Source organism: Homo sapiens, chromosome 20, assembly GCF_000001405.40.
Source record: "Homo sapiens chromosome 20, GRCh38.p14 Primary Assembly".
NCBI classification, from domain to species: domain Eukaryota; kingdom Metazoa; phylum Chordata; class Mammalia; order Primates; family Hominidae; genus Homo; species Homo sapiens.
The window spans coordinates 4877734-4899869 of NC_000020.11; the positions used below are offsets into that span (position 1 = coordinate 4877734).

General features: G+C 47.5%; 1 protein-coding gene across 2 annotated transcripts in view, besides 2 other annotated features; it reads right to left on the minus strand.

Moving 5' to 3' along the window:
* SLC23A2 (solute carrier family 23 member 2) overlaps positions 1–22136 on the minus strand; it is a 157956-nt gene that overhangs the window by 25376 nt on the left and 110444 nt on the right. For both annotated transcript variants that reach the window (NM_203327.2, NM_005116.6), the window contains exons 6-9: positions 21822–21979; positions 8088–8176; positions 7020–7090; positions 5909–6090 (exon numbers count right to left, since the gene is read on the minus strand). In NM_203327.2, the coding sequence (NP_976072.1) occupies positions 5909–6090; positions 7020–7090; positions 8088–8176; positions 21822–21979 (500 nt within the window). The remainder of the gene's footprint in view (positions 1–5908; positions 6091–7019; positions 7091–8087; positions 8177–21821; positions 21980–22136) is intronic.
* Positions 16308–16808: an enhancer, noted in NCBI's record as "H3K27ac hESC enhancer chr20:4874687-4875187 (GRCh37/hg19 assembly coordinates)". NCBI's record gives its function as "activates a minimal SCP1, AML or CMV promoter by ChIP-STARR-seq in primed H9 embryonic stem cells {active_cell/tissue: H9 hESC(primed)}" and the evidence as "EXISTENCE:reporter gene assay evidence [ECO:0000049][PMID:30033119]".
* Positions 19036–19557: an enhancer, noted in NCBI's record as "H3K27ac-H3K4me1 hESC enhancer chr20:4877415-4877936 (GRCh37/hg19 assembly coordinates)". NCBI's record gives its function as "activates a minimal SCP1, AML or CMV promoter by ChIP-STARR-seq in naive H9 embryonic stem cells {active_cell/tissue: H9 hESC(naive)}" and the evidence as "EXISTENCE:reporter gene assay evidence [ECO:0000049][PMID:30033119]".

Below are 22136 nucleotides of genomic sequence, written 5' to 3' on the forward strand. Positions count from 1 at the left end.
TGACACATGGGGGTTCATTAAACTATTCTCTTCACTTCTGAATAGGTTTGAAATTTTCCATAAGAAAAGTCAATAAAAAAATAAGTTTTAAAATGTAGGTCCTACCAAGGACGTATGCACTGTGCCAGAAAGAGCAGTCACTGACCGGCCGCACTAACCTTCCCTGAGACTCCGTCTCTAAACTCCATCTCCATCAGAGTGACTTAGTTTGTACAACCTCATTCACTCTCAATTCCAACAGAATCATGTAGATAATACACATTTTAATAAATTGGGAGGATAAACCTTTTTCACACTTTAATGAGCTAGGTGTAGTCCCTTTTTTGCCAAATGGCTACTCCTATCACACCCTTCATCTATTACTCCACTGGGATTCTCTCACTTTTAAATTAACCAGTAGAACTCTTTACGAGTTAGGGATGTTAGCCTTTCTTGTGACATTTTTATGAGTATTTTCCCAGCTTTTTTTTTGAGACAGAGTCTCATTCTGTCGCCCAGACTGGAGTGCAGTGGTGCAATCTCAGCTCATTGCAACCTCCACCTCGTGGGTTCAAGTGATTCATGTGCCTCAGCTTCCTGAGTAGCTGAGATTACAGGTGCCCGCCACTACACCCAGCTAATTTTGTATTTTTAATAGGGATGGAGTTTCACCATGTTGGCCAGGCTGGTTGAGAACTCCTGAGCTCAAGTGATCTGCCCACCTTGGCCTCCTAAAGTGCTGAGATTACAGGTGTGAGCTGCCACGACAGATTTGTTTTTAATTCAGTGGTTTCTGACGTTTTAAATGTGTCAATAGTAAAATCTATCTTTCTCTTTCTCTTTTCAATATCTGCTTTAAGAAAGATCTCCCCTCCCTTAGGATTAAAAACTTATTTAGGTTTTCTTCTAGCACTTTTATGGTTATTTTGTATATTTAAGTCTTTAATTCAACTGAAATACAATTTGATATAAATTAGGAGTCTAACTTTTTCCCAAAAATAATTAGTTTTTCCTACATAATTTGTCCATTCCCCACTGGTTTCAAATATGACTGCCATCTATACTAAATATTTATTTTTCTTTGATTCTGTTTCTGTTCTTCTTACTCTGCTCTGCCAATGTCTACCCCTGTCCCAGGACCACAGTATTATTTATGAAGTTGTGGAATGTATTTAATTCCTCTACAGGCAAGTCACCATCCCCTCTCCTCTCTGATCTTTTTGGTATGGGTCCACATTATTTTACTTTCTTGTTTTATAAATTGACTAGCACATCTAGAATAACTTTAAATGATACCCGTGATAATAAACAAGCTTATTTAAGTTCCTGACTTCAAAAGGCAGGACTGATTTGAGTCTTTCATCATTCAAGTAGGAGGCATGTTTATCTTACGCATAAAGATCCTTCTATACAGCCAGGCACGGTGGCTCACGCCTGTAATCCCAGCACTTTGGGAGGCTGAGGTGGGTGGATCACCTGAGGTCAGGAGTTTGAGACCAGTCTGGCCAACATGGTGAAACCCTGTCTCTACTAAAAATACAAAAAAATTAGTCGGGAGTGGTGGCGGATGCCTGTAATCCCAGCGACTTGGGAGGCTGAGGCAGGAGCATTGCTGGCAGCCGGGAGGTGGTGGTTGCAGTAAGCGAGATTGCCCCACTGCACTCCAGCCTGGGCAACCAGAGTAAAACTCTGTCTCAAAAAAAAAAAAAAAAAAAAAAAAATCCTCCTATTCTCACATTGCTAAGTTTGCAACAAGGATGTAGGTTGAATTTTAAAAATAAAATTCAGGGGAAGGGACTATTACCATAGTTTTATCAATAAGACCTTATTAATAAAATCTACCCTGTAGTCCCAGGTACTCTTGGGAGGCTGACGAATGAGAATCGCCTGAACTCAGGAGTCAGAGGCCACAGTGAGCTGAGATTGTGCCACTGCACTCCAGCCTGGGTGATGGAGCGGGATCCTGTCTCAAAATTTAACAAATAAAAAAAAACCTACCATGGAGCCATGATCGATTTCAACACATTTTCTAATATTTGATCATCTGTGAATTCTTGAAATGACGCATTATGCCTTGTTCTTTCATTGTGTTATCTGTAGCAGCATCTTCCCAAACAACATTCTAAGGAATAGTCTGTCAAGATATGCTTATAGATGTGTGACATTTAAAAAACAAATTAAGGGTGGACAGGGCTGGATACTAAGGCCCTTTTCTGAAGGTGAATAGAGTCTTTTGCGCATTTGCATTTTGAAAGATTGGAAGGAGTCTTACAGTAGAGAATGATGCTGAACTTTAGCACGCTACCTGAAGACATTTGAACTCAGGGCTCGTTGCTTAGAATGTGCCGCAATACATCCATCAGCTCAGGATTTGTTTGTTTTTTAACACAACCCCAGGAAAGAAAACAATGGTCCATGGTTCTCCTTTTGTATTAGTTCAGTCAGAATTTGCCGCTAAGATTGGCTGGGGAGTTTCCCTCCTTTCACAGAGCTCTGGAACAGTTTGCAAGTTAGTGCATATAGTCTCTGTTCCTTGAAGACTGAATGCACTCATTGTCTAACCATCTGGGCCCAGGGCTTCTTTTAGGAATCAGAGTCCTTCAGCAACTATCTCGGCTGCTCTTGTGGTCATGGGTTTACCGGGCTTCCTGAGCCTTCCTTTATTAGTTCACAACCTGCTCACTGAGCACCAGCTCAGCCACGGGAGGGGCAGGTGCTGGGGGTGCAGAGGTGACCCACCCAGAGCGTAGGCCCTGCTCTCACAGAGCTGACAGCCCAAGGATACAGAAGAGCTCTTGGAAACTGAAAAAACACCAGAGCATAAATGACAATCTTGGCAGAAGGAATAAGAGATAAAGCAAAGGAGAATTCTCACGAATAGAGAAAAAAGACAAAGAGATAGAAAACAGGAGAGGAAACAGGAAGAGTCCAGGAGGCTTCAGGAAGAGGTTCCAGAAAGAGACAAGTAAGGGTGGAGTGGAGGAAGGCATCTAGATAATTCAAGATCATGTCCCACCTCTGCATGCCTGGGTGCTCAGAGCAAAGGGGCTCCAGGTATCCAGGCCAAGAGACGCAAGCAGACCCACCGAGGGCAGCACGTGAGGCTCCAGACATTGGAACAGTAAGAAAACCCCAAAGCTTCCAGAATTCTAGCTTGTGTCTAACTGATGTTTCAAAAGGAGGGGAGAGAGGAGGACCCCTGGGAGACATGAGGGAGAAGCTGGGGACAGTGAGGAATCAATGGCCAAGGGCGAGCAAGGCTCGCAGAGGGTGGCGGCAGTGAAGGCCTGCAAAAGAGAACGGGTTCAGAATTTGTTCCGGAGGAGGAAGGGCAGGATGGGCTGTGTGGGGGATGAGGCGAAAGGAAGACTGAAGAACAGATAGACATTTCTGGCTGAAGCAACTAGGGGCACGGTTGTGCCATTCACCGAAAGGAGGAAAGCAGAAGAAACTGGTTTCAGGGGCAGGAAAGGAATCAAAAGTCTGGGGCTTTTTCATTTACAGATGGAGATGTCTTGTGTAACAGTAAGTGGAGGGGCAAAATAGGGGCTGGATCTGTAAGTATCGAGTTTACAGGTCTGAACTACAGGTTTCCATGGAACTATCCACCATCAAAGAAATGCGATTTCCTTGGGGGAAGTGCATGGAGAGAAGGGGGCCAGGATCAAGTGTGGAGGCACCCCCATACTTAGAGATAAGAGTGAGGAGGAGTCAATTTTGGTTACTTAAGTTTTCTGAAAACCACTATTTTCTTACTTTTTGTTTTAATTTGGGGGGAGGTAACAGTTTTGCTCCCTCTGACGGGATCTGTGGCAGATCTATGTGCACAGGCTTCCTCTTATCCTGCTTAGCTTTGCCAGAAGTTTGTCTACATTGGGTTTTGTTTCCCCCTCAAGAGATCAGCTTTTAGATTTACCACTTCTATTTGTGTCACATTTTCTGTATCTTTATTAATTCGTTCCCCCTGCTTTTACTAGGTTCATTTTTTTGTCCTGTTTTCTTAGTTACTGAAATTCTTCATGTGCTGTATCTGCTTTAAAGGTTGTGAATTTTCTTGAGAACACCTCTGGCTACTAAGTGTGACTGGTGCTGTTCTTGCCATCATTTCCTAAACTATCAGTAATTAATTGCAAAGTTTCAATTTCCTCTCTGAGAGTGATTTTTAACACTTTTTTTTTTAAGCTTGTAAGTGCTTTGTGGGTTTTGTTCATCCTTTTGTTACTGGTTTCAAATTTTACTGTACTATACCTACAATTTATCCATTTTGGCATTAATTACATTTCGCTGAAAGACTATTCTCACATGCCATCTTCCCATCTCTGCTGGTGTGAAGAATGTTTTGACCAACCTTTGGTGAAATGAGAATAGTAAGAACAATTTTGGGCTGGGCACGGTGGCTCATGCCTGTAATCCCAGCATTTCGGGAGGCCAAGGTGGGCAGATCACCTGAAGTCAGGAGTTTGAGACCAGCCTGGCCAACATGGTGAAACCGTCTCTACTAAAAATACAAAAACTAGCCGGGTGTGGTGGTGGGTGCTTGTAATCCCAGCTACTCGGGAGGCTGAGGCAGGAGAATTGCTTAAACTCGGGAGGTGGAGGTTGCAGTGAGCCAAGATCGCACCACTGCACTCCAGCCTGGGCAACAGAGCGAGACTCCATTGCAAAAAAAGAACAATTTTGGGAAAGCATGATGATGGGTATTCATGCTCATGTGTGAGATGTGTCTCCTTCAAACCTTGTTTAAAGAAAAAAAAAAACTTGATATTTTCACACACCTTAATTTAATTTGTAAAGTGTAGATAACAATTCTGCTATGGTTCCCTTTTATTTGTACGTCATGTTCTAATACACAGAACAGGATTGAGTATGATGGGTTCGGGCCCATGTCCACCACCTGGGTTTTGAAACCCACGGTGGCCACTTAATTCACTGTATGACTCTGGGCAAATCACATTACGTCGTGGTGCTCAGTGTCCTCTGCTGTTAAATGGGATAACACTAGGATGTGCCTTATCTGATACTATATACAAGTGTTATATAAAGGACTGATGCATAGTAAAAGATCAATAAATACCACCTGTTATTAAATAACTGCAGACTATTTCACAAAACAGAGCAAATGAAAAATTCTCTTATGTGATGACTTATTTTGTTTTAGGAGTTGTACTGGCTGGTTAAATTCCAGAGTAATGGAACCATATACCTACACATAATCAACTCTTAAACATGCTCTGCAGACACATAGAGAATGTGGGCTCTGTGTTACAAAGAGTTCTGTGACTCTAATCATCAGTAATATTATCAAACTCCCCTGTGACTTCATTAACACAAAATGTTAACTTTACTTAAAGGGCAAGGGACATCTTTAATGGATGTGACATTCTGTACAAAAGGACAGGCACTGACTAGCAGGACCCTGGCAGAAACTATGTCCCTCCCCCAACCACCCACCCGTCAGGAGTGCAGAGCTCAGTGTGGCCTGGGGAGAAGAGTCACATCATCAATGGCAACAGACCTTTCCCACGACTTCTCTGGAAATACTCCAGATTCCTGCCACTCTGGAATATTTTTGAGTCTCATGATATAAAAATTTGGCTTCTCAGTATGTCAACTCATGAACATGAGACTTGGCAAGACCTCAAAAGTCAAAAACAAATGGCGCCACTACCTTACCCCACTACCAAAGCTTAAAAACTTACAATCCACCCTCTTCATATTGCTGCTAAGTCTGTCTTTGTAATACGTCAACTATATGTCACTTCCCAAACTCTGGGTCAAAAACCCTTCAACTATTCCCCAGCACGAAGCAAATAAAGTTGAAACTGTCAGACCATTCTTATTATTGAAAAACATTATCTCCTGAAGTCTGTGTGAATGTTCCTAAAGGCTGCCCCGCAGTGGTGGGATGAGGGGAGATGTTTCCACTTACAGCATGGCAATGCCCCAGTGCTTCCCGGCTCTCTCCCCCGCTGCCTGGAAACCAGAGAGGCCAATTAGGGCCACCGTGGGTGTAATGGTCAAGGGACCGATGTACTTCAGTAGAGCCCCAGGCAGGCCGAGGAGGCCGATGACTACTTCTATCAGTGAGGACATGATGATGGCCCCCTGGATCTGCAACAAGAGATGGCACAGACATGAGAGTGAGCTGCTTGTACACTGCACACTCAGAATGTCACCTACAACCACAACTGATAATTCTGCAAGGCAATAAGTTATTACATCATCTAACTTGGGAGAGATAGCTAGAAAATTCCCCAGGACCCGACAAGAAACTTCAGGGGGCACTAACTGGGGCCTGCATTCATGATGCAGGTGTATTACAGAAATAGGTCCTGGACACACGGCCCACATGCCTTTTTCACTGTTAAACGATGCAGGCAAAAATTTATAATTCCCTTTTAAGAAACACAACATTTAAAGACCAGCCTTAGAGGAACACTGCAGCATAAAGACTCTCAGCTTTAAAGAGTGAGCCCCCCAGGACATCGACAAGACAATGTTGTTGACAGAAATTCTAAAGGGATGTTTTTAGTGTGCAGAATGGCCACATCTGTGCTCATTCTGAACTGATGGTGAATTATCTCACACGTTTTGGAAAATATTAATACACTGTCAGCCGTACTTCATGTCTGCTTCTGTTCAATTGCACTTTGGCAGACAAATATCTTTAGTTCTTTCAATGAACACAGGCAAACACTGAGGCCAGAGCGAACAATTCTGCTATCTGTCGATGATGAGCCTCTGTAGCTCCATCCAGTGAGCCACGAACCTCAGCTAGCTGTGCTGGCGGGTGTGAGTGGACAGGTCTGTGGGTGTGCAGGAGGGAGGAAACCATTCCTTAAGGTTGCCCAGAGCATTTCCATATGCTTTATTTTAGAGTATTGCTTAACTACATTTACTTAAACAAGAGAAATAAACTATCAGTAATTGAAAAAGAAAAGAAGGGCTCAGTAAAAGTAACTGCTATTTCTTGGGTCAACCAACATTGAAGCTGAGAAGAAACATGAAGAAGCCAAAAGCAGACAACGCTTGTCTTTTACCTCTCGGATCCGGGGATACCAGATGTGTTCTGTGTGCAACAGCTCTGCTGTTCCATTGGCAACTGAAACATCTTGAAAACAAAAACAAAGTTTTTCTTGGAGTGACACTGATGTCTCACATGACATATTCATTTTACCTTTTAAGAAGAATTTTCTCCCTGTTTTTATTACATCTGTTTCAATCCCCATCCCTAAAATTCAACCTCCAACAGTATAGCTTATCTCACTGAAAGGTGGATCCTCAAATGCTAATTTAACCAAATGAATTCATCGACTAAGAGCTCCCCAAATTGTCAAAAGCTAACTGAAGTGGTGATACACGTTACTAGCACCAGCCTCACACAAAAAAACCAACCTTTGCACACAGCTCATTGAAATGCCCGACAGCAAGGTTGCTGGACTGAGGTTTGAAAAACTTAGATAAAACAGAGGGCCTTTTCCAGTTCCCAGATCAAATCAGTGGTCACAAAGTAACTCCTAGGAGCAAGGAAGGAAATGAAGGCTGGAAAACTTTGCTCCTAGAAGGTCAAAATGTAATTGTATTTTTGAGAGTACAGGTCTGACTCTAATTTTCTTAAATTCCCTATCTTTTCCTGACCTTATCGGGTTCCTTAAGGATCTTTGCAATCACTAAAGAAGGGGAATGAAAGTCATTTGCAGCAAACCACAGTAGCCAGATCCTTAAAAAGCAAAGATGTTTCAGAGAAGGGATGCTGACGCAGCAAAGAGAGTGATTACTGGTGGGTCATAAAATCCACTGAAAGAGAGAGGCAGAAAAATAGCACAAATATTTTTCTATTCCGTTCCCATATTTGTCAATTTCATTAACATAGAGAAATGAGGTCAATTCTGATCCTTTCTTGCTCTAGGGTTAGGGATGAACAAGTGGACAGAAAGAGAGAGACAGACACGATCCACAGATGGAGCATTCTAAGCTGTTTGTGGGTTTGTGTGCTTTGTCCCTAATTCTTGAAAGGATTTAGCGCTGCTGAGGGCAGCACGTCCAGGCCTCCCTTTACACCTGCATTAAAGGACCCCAATGACATATGTGGAAATAACTGCAATTACCTGTGGTGTTACATTTCCATTTATCTAAAGACAGGATGGCTCGAGCAGGGGCCAAAAATGCAAAAGCACTGGCCTGAAACAGGGGTAACCTAAAAGAAACGAGACCAAAACCATGATCACGGCATCGGGAACTACCGAGGTAGTTCACTATTTGACAGCTTAACAGTCTTTTCCATAGACATACAGCACATGAGTAAATGCAGGCACACCTAGAAGAAAAAGCCCCAGTTTGCAAAGGTTTCCTGTGCCATGCAGCCACAGCCAGTGGCTTCTTCATCCTCCCCATTGCCACTCTCCTCCCACCCAGGCAGCTCCAGGGTGGGCCCCGTGGTCAGTGCCAACACCCCAACACCGGCCCCTGCCATCACCACCTTTCCTCTTGCAGGCGGGAGACTGCGGGCATTTGAGGTTCCCTCTTTCCTGCTGAGCTTATAAACTCCTTTTTAAACATCAGTGTATTTCTGCTTTTTTACCTCCCTCCTCCTCCCTTTAAAATTCTTATTGGTTATCACAGGAACAAATTTCCCTCCGTTGTTTCATTTTGTAAATCAAAAACTGCCCTAATCACCGATTACAGATAAATCATAATAGTGATCTAGATCTACAGAGCTGTAAGTTACAACGTGACAGCAGATAAAATAAATATTCTGCTTAATCATAAAAATACTTAAAGACATTCTAATATATTTTAAAGGGCCCAGAAAACTTGCAGAATCTCCATTAAATTTGCTGCCCACATCCTCAAACTAAATGCAGAGATCCTCAAATGACATGATTTGATTATATTTTAGATACTTCATATTGACTTCATGAACACTTTAGCTATTCAAAAAGACTACCATTTTTTAATGGAAATGTACAGCATTTCAGCTAAGTCACATTAAAGTGACTTTATGGGTTAGCATGAGAACTTAATCACTATTTTTAATATAATTTTGAGGGTAAAATATTAAACTGACTCCTCCTGTTTGCAGGGCTGGGAACTCTCACACATCCAAATCCTGAAATGCCCCAGAGAGCCTAGTCAGTGGCCTGGCCAGCGAGACAGGGACCCAGCATCCTTCCCTTTGAGCTGTCTGGCAGCAAGTCCTACCCACAGTGAAACAGGAACTGGACTGAGAAATCAAACTGGCTCTAGCTAAAGGACAAGCAGTCTCGTTGCAAGTCCAGAGCCCAGCACACACCATTCTGAGCCAGTGAGGTCAAGACTTCCTTGTTACAGATGCTCTCCTGGCTGTTTAATCATGCAATGACATCAATCCAGAGTAGGAAGGGTGCTGGCTTTAAGGCACAGACGCAGGCTACACCATACAAACCAGATGCATTGCTGTTGACCACTCCCACAGGCATGCCCTTCAACAACCATCCAGTTATAATTACCTGCCAGAGGGGCCCAGAGGATAGCGGAAGTGAAGGACACCTGAAGTGGGAATGTACGTCAAAGGGAAAACACTGTTTGACTTCTAGGTATTCCATAAGCACAAATTTTCAGGACTGTACTGAAAGGACAGCGTGTAATTAGGGACGGATGCTGTATGGAATGGTCCAAATGCCATCTGGTTTACCATGGTTTCAGACTTCAACCAGTGCATCCTAGGGCAGTGGAATACAAATGGTGAATTGCGTTTAGAGATTTTATCCTTAGGAATGTGGCCATCACACATCACACTGTGTTGGTGATCCACTGGAAATGGCAAAAGGAAAGACTGGATCTGGCTTCCACTCTTCAGTCAGACCTCAGCCTGAACCTGACCTTGGCATCCGACCTGGGCACCTTTCAGGGTGAGCATTTGGTGGCTTAACTAGGACTAAAGGTCCCGAGAGCGCTGCTGTAAAGATACTTGCTCATTTGCAAGCTGCTGGGACCCTGAGTTCCCCTGAAATAGATGACGATAGAAAAAGTCTCCCGAGATGATCTGGAAAGGGCTGCTCATGCCAGCATTATGTGTTCACGTCTAGCCAGGCAACACCGCCTGACACAAGCTGTTAAGACGCCAGCACTAAGTGTGGGCTCTGTCACTGGCTTGACTGAAACGTTCTTAGGGAAAGTTGCAACAAGAGCATATGCACACGTTAAACGAGAGCTTCCCTAGATCACAATTAACAAAGCCAATTTTCCAAGAAAACGGCTGAAGGTGATGAGAGTGGCTTTTTTAGGTGCTTGCCCAGTGTGAAGACGGTCAATTCTCAGCTCTTCTCTCTGCACCCAAGGCACGGCCCCTGTCGTACTCATGTGACCAGGTAAACCTCAGGCACCCAGGTGGGTCTCCCTAGGCCGAGAAGACTGCCTGCTCTTTTATTTTGTACTAAAGACTGGAAAGGAAATACATTAAACTGTGCTTTTCTTTACACCAGGGGCGGCCAAACCAGCCAGTGGGCCAAACCTGGGGTGCTACCTGTTCTGTAAGTAAAGTTGTACTGGAACAAAGGACAGCCATTTATTTACTCACGGTCTAAGGCTGCTTTCACGCTATCACGGTGGAGCTCAGCAGCATTAACAGAGACACGCAAAGCCTAGGCTATTTACTGTTGGCCTTTTACAAAAGAAGTTTTTCTGACCTGTCTACAGGGAAAATATATCTTAAATATGTGAAGAGGCAGTGGGTTTCTGCAGCTAGAAATTCTCACAGTTAATAGTGGTCACTAGACATTAGTTTAAAAAACAAAATCCTGAGCAGACCAGCAACTTTGACATGACGAGATCCCATGTCGGGCTCCAGCCTCAGGACAGCAGGAGAACCTAAGCAAACTCCCACAGTCCTTACTTTATTCAAAACCCTGCCAGAGGCCCCCCATGTCCAGCTTGGTGCCCAGGTAACCTGAACCCCACTCCCAGCCTGGTATCTCTCACCAGCTCCTTCATACGAGTTCATCTTTCATTTGTCATTTAAGGCACAGAGAAAATATCACCTCCTCCAGCAAATATTCCAGGATCTCCTTTGAATCTGTAATGTGTTCCCCTACAACTTAGGACTTTTTGTCAAGATTTCTGCAAGTCACCTCCCAAGTTACCAGGAAGCTGCTTCAGGATTCTCTGGGAGTGCTGGTTAAATGTGGAGATTTCTGCATCTCGTCCTGGTTAGCCAGATTCAGGGGTGGGTGGCACCAAATCTGCATTTTCAACAATGCCTTCTAGAGGTGGCTGAGACTGACAACCCCTGTGCCAGGTTAAGGGATTTATCATTTTGTCACCTGATAAATGATTCTTGGATATCTGCTTGACACCAGCACAATTATAAGCAGATACGACGATGGAAAACACTTCCTGAGCCCTTCTGTTTCTGCTGCGTGAAGAAGACACTAATCATGGTCACATATAAGGGGCCGTGATGTGACGGTGTGAAATGCTGTGGGACTCTGCAGGTGCAGTCGCTTGAGCGAGTCTTAAAGAACGAGAAGTGCTTCGCCACGTGTGTGGGGGATTATGGGTATTCCGGGCAGAGAGAGGGGAGGTGCAAAACAAGAGCCACAGGACGGACCCAGGAACCCTCAGAGGACTGCAGATTCTCCACTTGAGCGAAAGCACAGGGAGCTCATATGATGAAGGTCAGTGGGGACCAGATGACAAATGCCCCGCATTCTTCCTGCAGCAAGAGGGAAATGAGTGAAGGACCTGCTCTGAAAGGACCACCGTAGGAGAACTGGGAGAGGTGACCTTAACCCTGAAGCTATTCTCAGTCTTGAAGGAACCAAGCCACAGAGGACATCCCAATAGGCTGTGGCATGGCTCTGTGTGTCATCTTTGCTTTTTAATTCCCTTTGGCATCCGCTCACATGACGAGCCAGCCTGAATCAGATCTCCGCCTGTGTCCAGCCTCTATCTGCTCCCTTCCTCGGGCTGCTGCTGTCTGTGCTGGTGCACTCCCCACAAGCTGTCCTGCCCATCTCAACCTTGAGGCGGGCATCCCCCGATACTAGGAAGTGGACTGGCTTCACCCACCATCTTGACCCACCATGTATCCTCAGCACCAATGAATACTTAATGAAATGAAGGAGCTATTTATATTCTCAGAAAGGACTTCTATTAAACTAAAAATAAGAGGTTAAGTCTTTGTGGCAAGTTGGTTTTGACTGCACATTTGGAAGAGAGTGGTGATTAGATTAAAAGTACTCAGAGTTGGGGGTGAAATGTGCATGGGTTTTCATGATTCAACCAGATAAGCCTCCAGATGCCGGGCGGCTTGCAGTCCTCCTCTGGTGCCATCAGAGAAACTTTAAAAGCCAATGGTTCCTATGGGAAACACCATGAAGATACAAAATGTATCTGCCCAGAACTAAACTGTTAATGAAAATGAATAAAACAAAAACAAAATTCACCAACACAGAGCATATATACTCTGTGCCTGGCTTCCTTCATCTACCAAGACAACAACCAAAGTTGGTACAAAACCCTGCATTGTCAAATGAACACTCAAGAGTCTAAACTGCAGGAAAAATTTTTGAAAAATAATCCTTAAGAGATGTAACAGGTTTGGCTTTGAGGAGCCATAGGTTCTTTATTGAATCTACCACTAGGAGTGTGTGTACCAACTACTTTTAAAGAAAAGCAAGGCCAGGCGTGGTGGCTCATGCCTGTAATCCCAGTACTTCGGGAGGCCAAGGCAGGAGGATAACCTGAGGTCATGAGTTCGAGACCAGCCTGGCCAACATGGAGAAACCCCATCTCTACTAAAAACACAAAAACTAGCCAGGCATGGTGGCAGGTACCTATATCCCAGCTACTTGGGAGGCTGAGGCAGAGGAATCTCTTGAACCCGGAAGGTGGAGGTTGCAAGTGAGCCTAGATCACACCACTGCACTCCAGTCTGGGCAACAGAGCGAGACTCCATCTCAAAAAAAAAAGAAAGACATAATGTGTCAAAGAAAACTTTTTCTTAATTGATGACATGTTCTATCATTTACTGTATCCATCCATCCATCCATCCATCGACCTGCTGAACTTTTGGAAAGCAGCCTGCACTGTTCTATCTATTCGTGGTGATGGTGATGTGATTGTACACATGGGTATAAGCTCATCTAACTATACAGCTTAAGGGTGAATTCTGCTGCATATCTATTGCCCCTCGACAGAGCTGACATTTTAAAAACCTATGTCTATCAATCTAACAAGTGTTTTCAGGGAGTGGGGACTTAGGAGGATGGGGGTAGCAGAGGCAGGGAGATGACAACACATTCCTTAAAACACCAGAGTCATGCCAAATATTGAAAAAACTCCCCAAATTTAAAACAGGAAAAGAGCTTCCATCCTTATTTGGTGATAAGTACTGTTCACTCCTGTGTAGAGCTGCTTTTGCCAGGGCAGTCACCTGCCTAAAAAGGAAGAATGGGGGTTAGGGGAGGGGAGGTAGGGGAAGCAGAAGGCCATGAGGAGGAGGATGAGCAATTCAGAGCCCAGGGAAATGTTTGGGGCAAGAAGGACCTGACAGTTGAAGAAGAAAGGTTGTAGAAAACCAAATTCATTAAACTTTCATGTAACAAGAGGACTCAATCAGACTCCCAGGCCCTTGAAACATCACAAATACCAGCTAACAGAGGAAGGGTGGAGTAACTGAAGGGAGACCACCCAGAAAAGCTAGAGTTGCAGGAACAAAAGCGAGTAGACCCGCCTTAGAGAACAAGCTTGGCTGAGGCAAGAGGGTCTCCGGCCTCAGGAGGGGCTGGATCAAATGCCCTTACAGCTTTCTGATGGCCTCTGCCATAGATTCCAGGGTCAGTGGGGCCCACCCTGGCTGGGGACACTGGCAGTGTGGCCAACCCCAAGCCCTGCTACACTCATCAGGTCTGCGTTGCTACACAAGGCTGTCCAGCCCTTGCTCGCTGTGCACCCGCTGCACTACCTGCCTCCTTCCCTCCCAGTGGGGAAAACTAAGATAAACAGAGTCAGCCACTGAGTGTGGACAGGTACCAGGCATCAGCTCACCTGATGCTCGCTAACAATCTTTCTTTTGAGACAGGGTATCGCTCTGTCACTCAGGCTGGAGTGTAGTGGCGCAAATCACAGCTCACTGTAGCCTTGACCTCCTGGGCTTAAGCAATTCTCCCACCTCAGCCTCCCGAGAAGCTGGGACCACAGGTGTGCACCACCACACCTGGCTAATTTTTTTTTATGTTTTTGTAGAGACAAGGTCTCCTTATGTTGCCCAGGCTGGTCTTGAACTTCGGGGCTCAAGTGATCCTCCCACTTTGGCCTCCCAAAGTGCTGGGAATGCAGGCATGAGCCATGGTGTCCTGCTCACTAACAGTCTTATGGTTAGTTTACCATTGAGGAAACAGGGCTTGGAGAGAGCTTGTCCAAAGTCACGTGACTATTAAATGATGGAAAGGGAGCCCAGCCGCCTCTGCATCCAAGGACTCAGTGCAGCTGGCAGTGGGGACAGGGCAGAGACCCTTAGCCAAGGTCATCACCTCCACGTTCTCACTGGTCTACCTTATCTCGGCTCACTGCAACCTCTGCCTCTCGGGTTCAAGGGATTGTCCTTGCCTCAGCCTCCCGAGTACCTGGGATATAGGCACCCACCACCATGCCCAGCTAATTTCTGTACTTTTAGTAGAGATGAGGTTTCACCATGTTGGCCAAGCTGATCTCCAACTCCTGACCTCAGGTGATCCGCCCGCCTCAGCCTCCCAAAGTGCTGGGATTACAGGCATGAGCCACCGTGCCCAGCCTGGTCTCCCATATTAATGTATGATTTTAAATTCCTTTTTAGTTAAGTGGATGGTAACAAATTTTTTTATTTGGGCACAAAACCCTATAATCTGCCATTATGTGCCTGCTTGACATGACAAAATACAAAGGATTTGACATCACCTACACAGTAATTTTGGCAACAATGTTTACCCTAAATCAACCATGCCTCCAGCCCCATCTTCTGGTTGACAACAAATCAGAGGGATTGTGGGACAAATCAAACAATATGACAGGGACACAATCAAGACAAAATCAGACACGAGACACCAGGTCTGGAATCTTTTTAAAAAGATGATGACGTGGGGAGGAAAAAGGTGGAGACAGCAAAGAGACACAACAAACAAATGCACCACACGAAGGAGACTGGTTTAGAGAGGGAATAATGGGGAAAGGTATTTTAGGAACAACTGGGAAGTTAAATACGAACTGCATATGAGATGATGAAACAGAATGATTGTTAATGTTCTTAGGTGTGACAAATGGTCTCCTGTGATACACAAGAGACACCGTCATTGCTAGGAGAGTATGTAGGGGTGAGCCATCATGCTATCTGCAACTTTACTTTTTTTTTTTTTAGACAGGATCTCGCTCTGTCTCCCAGGCTGGAATGCAGTGGCGTGATCATGGCTCAGTGAAGCCTCATCTCCTGGGCTCAAGCGACCCTCCCACTTCAGCCTCTCAAGTAGCTGGGACCACAGGTGCACGCCACCACACCCAGCTAATTATTTTTATTATTTGTAGAGACAAGGTCTCACTATGTTGTCCAGGCTGGTCTCAAACTCCTGGGCTTAAGCAATCCTCCCGCCTCAGACTCCCAAAGTGCTGGGATTACAGCCCTGAACCGCCTTGCTCAGCCTGCAACTTTACTTTCAAGTGGCTCAAAAATCAAAAAAATTACACTTGTACCCCAACATACATATACAGAAAGAGAAGTGGGGTCTCTCCCTTGCCCCAATCTGATCACCGCATCCCTCCATGCTTCTAAGTTTTATAAACAATCATGAGTTCGAAGTCCCCAGATTTAAGACCTTCAAGTCTCCTGGAGCCACCCCTTGTACTCAATGAGCACATATCATGGACAAGGTTCCATTACGGGCCCCAGGAACCTGACAGGATAGAAGACAGAGGAACTCTCTCTCCTTAGGGCAGACAATCTGGTTAGAGGCCAGGTTCCTAAACCAGCTACAATGACTCTCTTGGCCAAACCCTACCTTTTCTCAGCACATGAACATGCTGTGTGCCTACAGCAGGCCTGAGAACGGCCAGGAGGGCTCTCTCAGAGGGGGCATCCTACCTTTCATTTTGCTGGAGAGGTCAGAGTGATGCTTCTAAGAGGGGCCTGGAGTGAAAGGCTGAGGGTGGCCCCACAGATGCCGTAAGACTCTCCTCCCACCAGCCTGCGGGAAAGTCAGTGTGGTGACGGCGGGGCAGGGTCTTGGAGGGCCCTAGAGACACCAAGGGTCAGGGGTGGGAACTCTGGGAAGCTCAGAGGTGCCACAAAAGAATGACGGCTGCAGGCTGGCTAGGGGACTCTCAAAACCCTGACCTGATTTCTCTGGATTTTAAAGGCTTTGTACTAATTCCCGGAACAAGGGTTAGCTGGAATTGACATCACAGACCAACCAGAATGAGAACTGTTGAAACCTCGCTCAGGGGAAAACTCGGTAATGAAGACCTCCTTGACACAAAGCTCAGGGGATCAAGGTCAAAGGAGAGGAGGGAGGAGGAAAAGGTAGGGAGGAAGAGGGAGAGGGAGAGGGAATGCCATGAGGAAGGGCCGTGAGGAAGCTGCCTTTCCCTAAGCAAAGGCTTGGAAAGCACCAAAGCCTCCTAAAGTCCTCAACAACTGGGGCTAAGGCCCACAACCTCCAATGCAAAAAGACAACGGCCCCTGGAAGAAAAGGAAAACTTTCATGCCAGGGGAGAGATGTGCAGTGAAGGAAGAAGGGTCTGCAGCCTGCACAACTCAGACATGCTTCACGTGGTCTCAGCCAGTCAGCCTTGGGAAATGTACCCCCATGCTGTGGCATCTACAATCGGCCTCCTGTTCTTACTCTGCTCAAACTGCTTCCCAAGCCAGCAGGGAGGGGAACCATGCTGCCTGCTGACCTGGGTAGTTCTATTTAGGTCTTGTGACACAACAGTGGGCAAGGTGATGCCCTCTGTGACCAAAAGTATTTACCCCAAGTTCCCCCAGGCCCTCCCTTTCGTCTGCAAAGACACACATCTGTTTCACTGTGTCTTCTGCAAAGACACACATCTGTTTCACTGTGTCTTCTGCAAAGACACACATCTGTTTCACCTTCATGGGTTTCCCATCAACTCTGATCATTTTTATAGAATGAAACAGGTTTCCAGGATAGCATTCCACTCAGATCAAGAGCCCATGTGAAATGAGGGGGACGACTTGACCACAGCACCTTGTTCCTTCCTGTAATCTAGACACTTCTGCACAATAGAGGGCCCACCCCTCAAGGGCACAGGCCATGGTTTGTCCTCAGGCTCCCTTCACCCACAACATCCAGCGTGACAGAAATACTGGGTACTCAGCAAGAGGCAGTCAAATGCACAATGCAGGATACAGAACCGAAACACAACAGGGGAACCACTTCGGAGCTGGAGAAGTCTGACACTGTGTCTTAGAAATCACGAAAGCTGGACACGAAAAACTTTTCCTTCTGCTGCCCTAAGCCTAAGGAAATGAGTGGTGAGCTTCTCCAAAGCAAAAACACAACCCAAAAAAGCCCACAGAGGCCATCTGCCATCCTTCCGGCAGTGCTGCTGGGAGTCAGGCCTGCACGCCCGGCTGCATCTGCCTTTCCTCTCCACCTTGCTCCCTGCTCACAGTCTCTCTACCCCAACTGCAGAAAATAAACACAGAAGTCTAAAAGAAATGATAATTCACAGCCTATGATGGATCTATCTAAGCAACTAGCAGAACTAAAAGTCTAAAATATGAGTTCACATTTTCATATGCAAAAACTCCCAAAAAGTATTTTAGGAAACATAATAATCTACAAAAACACAATAGATTCATTAAAATTAGGCGAAATATATCATTCCCAGGACACCTGAGGGAGAAGCCTTCTTTCATTTTCACAAAGGAAACGGGGCTCGAGGGGTCACTTGTCCAAGGTCATAATGCCACATGCTGTAAACATATCTCTATCCTCAGAAATGTAGGTTTGATACCCAAGGGGTTAGAATTCCATAAAAGTATCCCAAAATCTGACTTTCACTTGCAATGGCCATGCGTCCAGCTCTGGCAGTATTGATCTTGGTGAGCACCCCTAGAACAGATGCTGTCCTGAGTGAGATCTGGGTGTCCAAGTACCAGAGGGGGCCTCACCCTACTGAGGTCTGGCTGCCAACCTTGCTCTGCTGGATGGGAACAGCGCATATGCTCACGGAGGAGTTGGCCATTTGGGGATTTCTGCTCTTCCCTCACTAACCCCACAGGAAACCTGAGGCAAGGCTGTGAGAGGTGGTGCGGCTGACAAGGTAGCCTGGCCTCGTCTGGCCTAGCGCAAAGATGGGAACAGGAAGGGTGGAGGAGTCTGCATCCCAACAGGAAGGGATGGAGGGTGGAGAGACGTGGGGGGGATGAGAGAAGAGGAGACACACGAACATGGGGTGCAGCAAACGTGCCCCCCACGGTGACTGGCCAGTCAAGGGGGGAACCAGCGGCCTCTCTCGTTGCCTCAGTGCCCCTTCGCTGCCTCAGACACGCAGCCCCCTGCACAGCAGGCCCCCAAGTGTGCTAAGGACCCACACGGAAGAAGGTCTGCAGACAGGGTCTGAGGCCGTGCGGAGCAGGAGCCCCCACCGGAGCCCCAGCTCACTGCCCACCTGCTGGTCGGAGAGGAAGCAAGGGGTGCAGGCAACACACAGCACTGCAGGCTCAGATTCACAGCAAAAGCCCCCCTCAGCCTGGGAGGCCCAGACTGCCCACAAGGTGCTGGCAGGGGCGCTCCCCTCCCCCATCCCAAAGGCTCTCTCTAAGCCGCTCCACTGGAAAGATTCTTTAATCAGGACACATGAAGCACATTCCATTCCGTGCTGCTTCTCTTTCCAGCTAAGGATTCAAAGCAGGAAGGGACCCCCAGGACGAGAAAGAGTGAGACTGGGGAATGAGTTCAGTCCTAGCACAGTCACCTTCCTATCCCACACCCCTGAGGCTTGCCTAGGCCCCCATCACCTTTCTCATGGATGTCACTGATCCCCTGGGATGGTCCTCACCCCCTATACTAAGTAACCAAGTAACGTCCTTCAAGGCACAGCCCCGGGGGCGAGTCCCCTGCTAACAAAGCCATTGAATGCTCCCTGTGCCTGTTGATAAGTCCCAAGCTCTGGCCTCTGTGTGCCTGGGCAGGGGGATCATGCCAGGCTGTGACTTCCTGCCTTTGCTCCTGCCCCTGCTGGGATGGAAGCTGCTCCCTCAGCCCTCCTGGGCAGAGCCCTTGGAGCCTGCAGGGCCTGTCTCAAACACCACCTCCTCCAGGGCTCCCACCAAGTCCCCTGGAGGATGCACTGTGTCTCCCTGATGGCGCTGCCCTTCGTGCTGCAAGCCATGTGCTTCGATGTCACCATTGCGCCCCACAATGGCCAGGCCCCGCACCTGCCACATAGACCAGTCACTGAATATCTGCAGGGCTGAGCCAGTACTCTTTCTCTTTGCCCAGGTTAAGAGAACGGGCACCACCCACACCCCGACAACCATAGAAAACCCCTATCACAAGCCCAACACCCCACCAAAGTCCCCAGCACACCTGCACCTGCCCAGCAGCACACAGTTGCTGACGTGATTAGAGTCAGCACCACCTGATTTATGACTAAGCAAATGGCCACACTGTGGGGAGGATGGAAGCAGGGGTGGGGCTGCCATTCCTTGCACAGCCAAAGGTCATGGGGGACTCACTCTGACTCCTCACAAACACAGCAAGAAAGGCTGCTTTCACCCAGCCTTGTGGGCATGGGGCGCACAGACACGCACCCTCCTCCAGGCCACAGCTCTGCATTTTGGGTCCCTGAGCCATCCCAGTAGGGTGTCAAATCCCTCTCCTGTTCTTACTCCGCTCAAACTGCTTCCCAGGCCAGCAGGGAGGTGAACCACGCTGACCCAGGTAGTTCTGTTTAGGTCTTGTGCCCCAACAGTGGGCAAGATGATGCCCTCTGTGACCAAAAGTATTTACCCCAAGTTCCCCCAGGCCCTCCCTTCTGTGTCCCATTAGCAACTTTGCCCATCAGGCTCAGCTGCTGGCCAGGCCTGGCCTCCTTGGCATGAGCTGGGGCAGAGCTGCACACGGTACACACTTCACTGCAATAAACACAGCTTTCATCCCCTATTCAGGTCAACCAATAATGCTCAGCTAGAGACACTGACCAAATTCACAGAGGGATTATGCCTACAAATCCACGGATAAGTCAGCGGTTTAGAAAAAGAACATCTCCCCAGAGAACCAGTGCTCCATGGGCAAGGTAAGGATCCTGAGTGAGCCAAAAAAAGCTCTGCCGTGCACTCTGGACTTGAAGCACAGAGCCCTGAACACTGTACCCAAAGAATGAAAGAGGGTGCTAGTCAGGTTGAGCCCTTCTTGGAAGGCCCAGACCACATCTCCTTCCCCTAGTCGGTCAGTGATATCCCTGCCCTGCCCCCTGGGGGGTTTGAGGAGACCCTCCTCCCTTCAGCCCAGCTTGGTGGTTGTGGGCAGACTAGCAAGGGCTGGGATCTGGGAACCATCAGAGCTTGCCAGCCCCAAAGCCTTTAGTCCACATAGCTTCTTTCCATCAGCAGACCTGCAGCCTACCCTCCCAGGGTGTGGCCTATCCTGGCAACCAGAACACCTGCACATGGCTCACCGCCCTCCAAGGCTCCCCTATCCCCGTGCCGCGTTAGGGCAACCCTGAGGTCCCGAAGGATTCTGACTCATCAGAATGCAGTCCCTGACTTCAGCTCACACCCACCTCCCACCGCAGGGAGGGCCAGGCCTTACTCAGCCTGTCTCTGACAGAGCAAGAGACAGCTGGCCGTGAACTTAGGACAGTCCTGCCAGAGCAGGCTCCACTTCCTGAGCAGTGCCCTGGGGTAAAGCAAGAGGCTGCACTGCGAAGAGGGGAGAGGAGCAGGAAAGGAGAGGAAAAGACAAGCTTGCAGGAGGAGGTAGGAAGGTAGATAAGGATGTTTCTCTTCCTTCCTGTGCCAGCTCCACGTCCATTTAAGCTGGTGGCTGGAAATGCAGAAGTGAACAAGCCAAAGCCCTGGCATCAAGGAGGAAGCACCGTGGGAAAAAGACATAGAAACAAAAAGGACAAACTGGAATAAAGGCCACACTGGAAGGATGAAAACAAGGTGGGAATTCAGAGAACAATGAAGGGCTCCACAGAGTCGGGAGGGCAGGACAAGCTGGGCCTGGAGGATGAGCTGTTGTGTGCCAGGCGGGTTGAGGGAAGACACACAAGAAGGTAGACAGCGGGCCCTTGGGAGTGAGGCCAGGGAAGGCAGGAGACAGGGCTCAGAGGCATGGCTGGAGATGGAAGTGGGGCAGAGAGCAAGGGCAAGCCTAAATGCTGGGTGCAGCCTGGTGTGTAAAAAGGGAGGAGAGCTGCAGTGTGGCTCACCCTGAGGAGGGTGTGGAAGTAGAAAGATGGCACTGGGTGTGGGGCACAAAGTGAGTCCAAGAGCAGTGCCCTGGAGGCAGGGAAGCCAACGGGGAGCCTGGTGGGACACTCTGGTCTGAACGTAAGGAATAGGGGCACAGAGGGGTGCTGGGGAGCGAGCATGACTTGCCAAGGGGGCAGGGGAAGGAGAGTGAGGCTGAGTTTCCAGCTTGGACAACTGGGTAGGGGAAGGTGGCGGTGGTGCCATTCACCAAGAGAGGAAATGACTGGGAGGAACACTGAGGGGTGGGGACCAACGGCCACTAGGACATTCCCGTGCCTCCATTCTGTCCTTGCCAACAGCCCTAGGCAAACGGCGCAGCTCAATGCCTTCTGCGCTCAATGCCTTCTGGGGGCTTTGGCATCCCCCATTAGTACCCCAATCTCACCTGCATCCAAACGTTGTCTGTAGCAAAGTAGTGATTCCCACACAGAAGAAAATGGTCCCAATGAGCTGGCTGGTGGCCCACTGGTCGTACCCCACACACATGGCATCGGCCAACAGGAAGGGCACTGCGATCGTGCCGCTGAAGCATGTCAGGTAGTGCTGTGGGCAGGAAAAGGGTCAGAGGAGAAACAGTAAACCCTTCCTCATTTATTCTTGATTTCATCCTAATTCTTCTCTCTTATTGTCGTTAAAAAATAGCCCACATAAAGAATCTCCTTGGTTTTTCGACCAAGCCATACTTTTTTCCTTCTTTTTC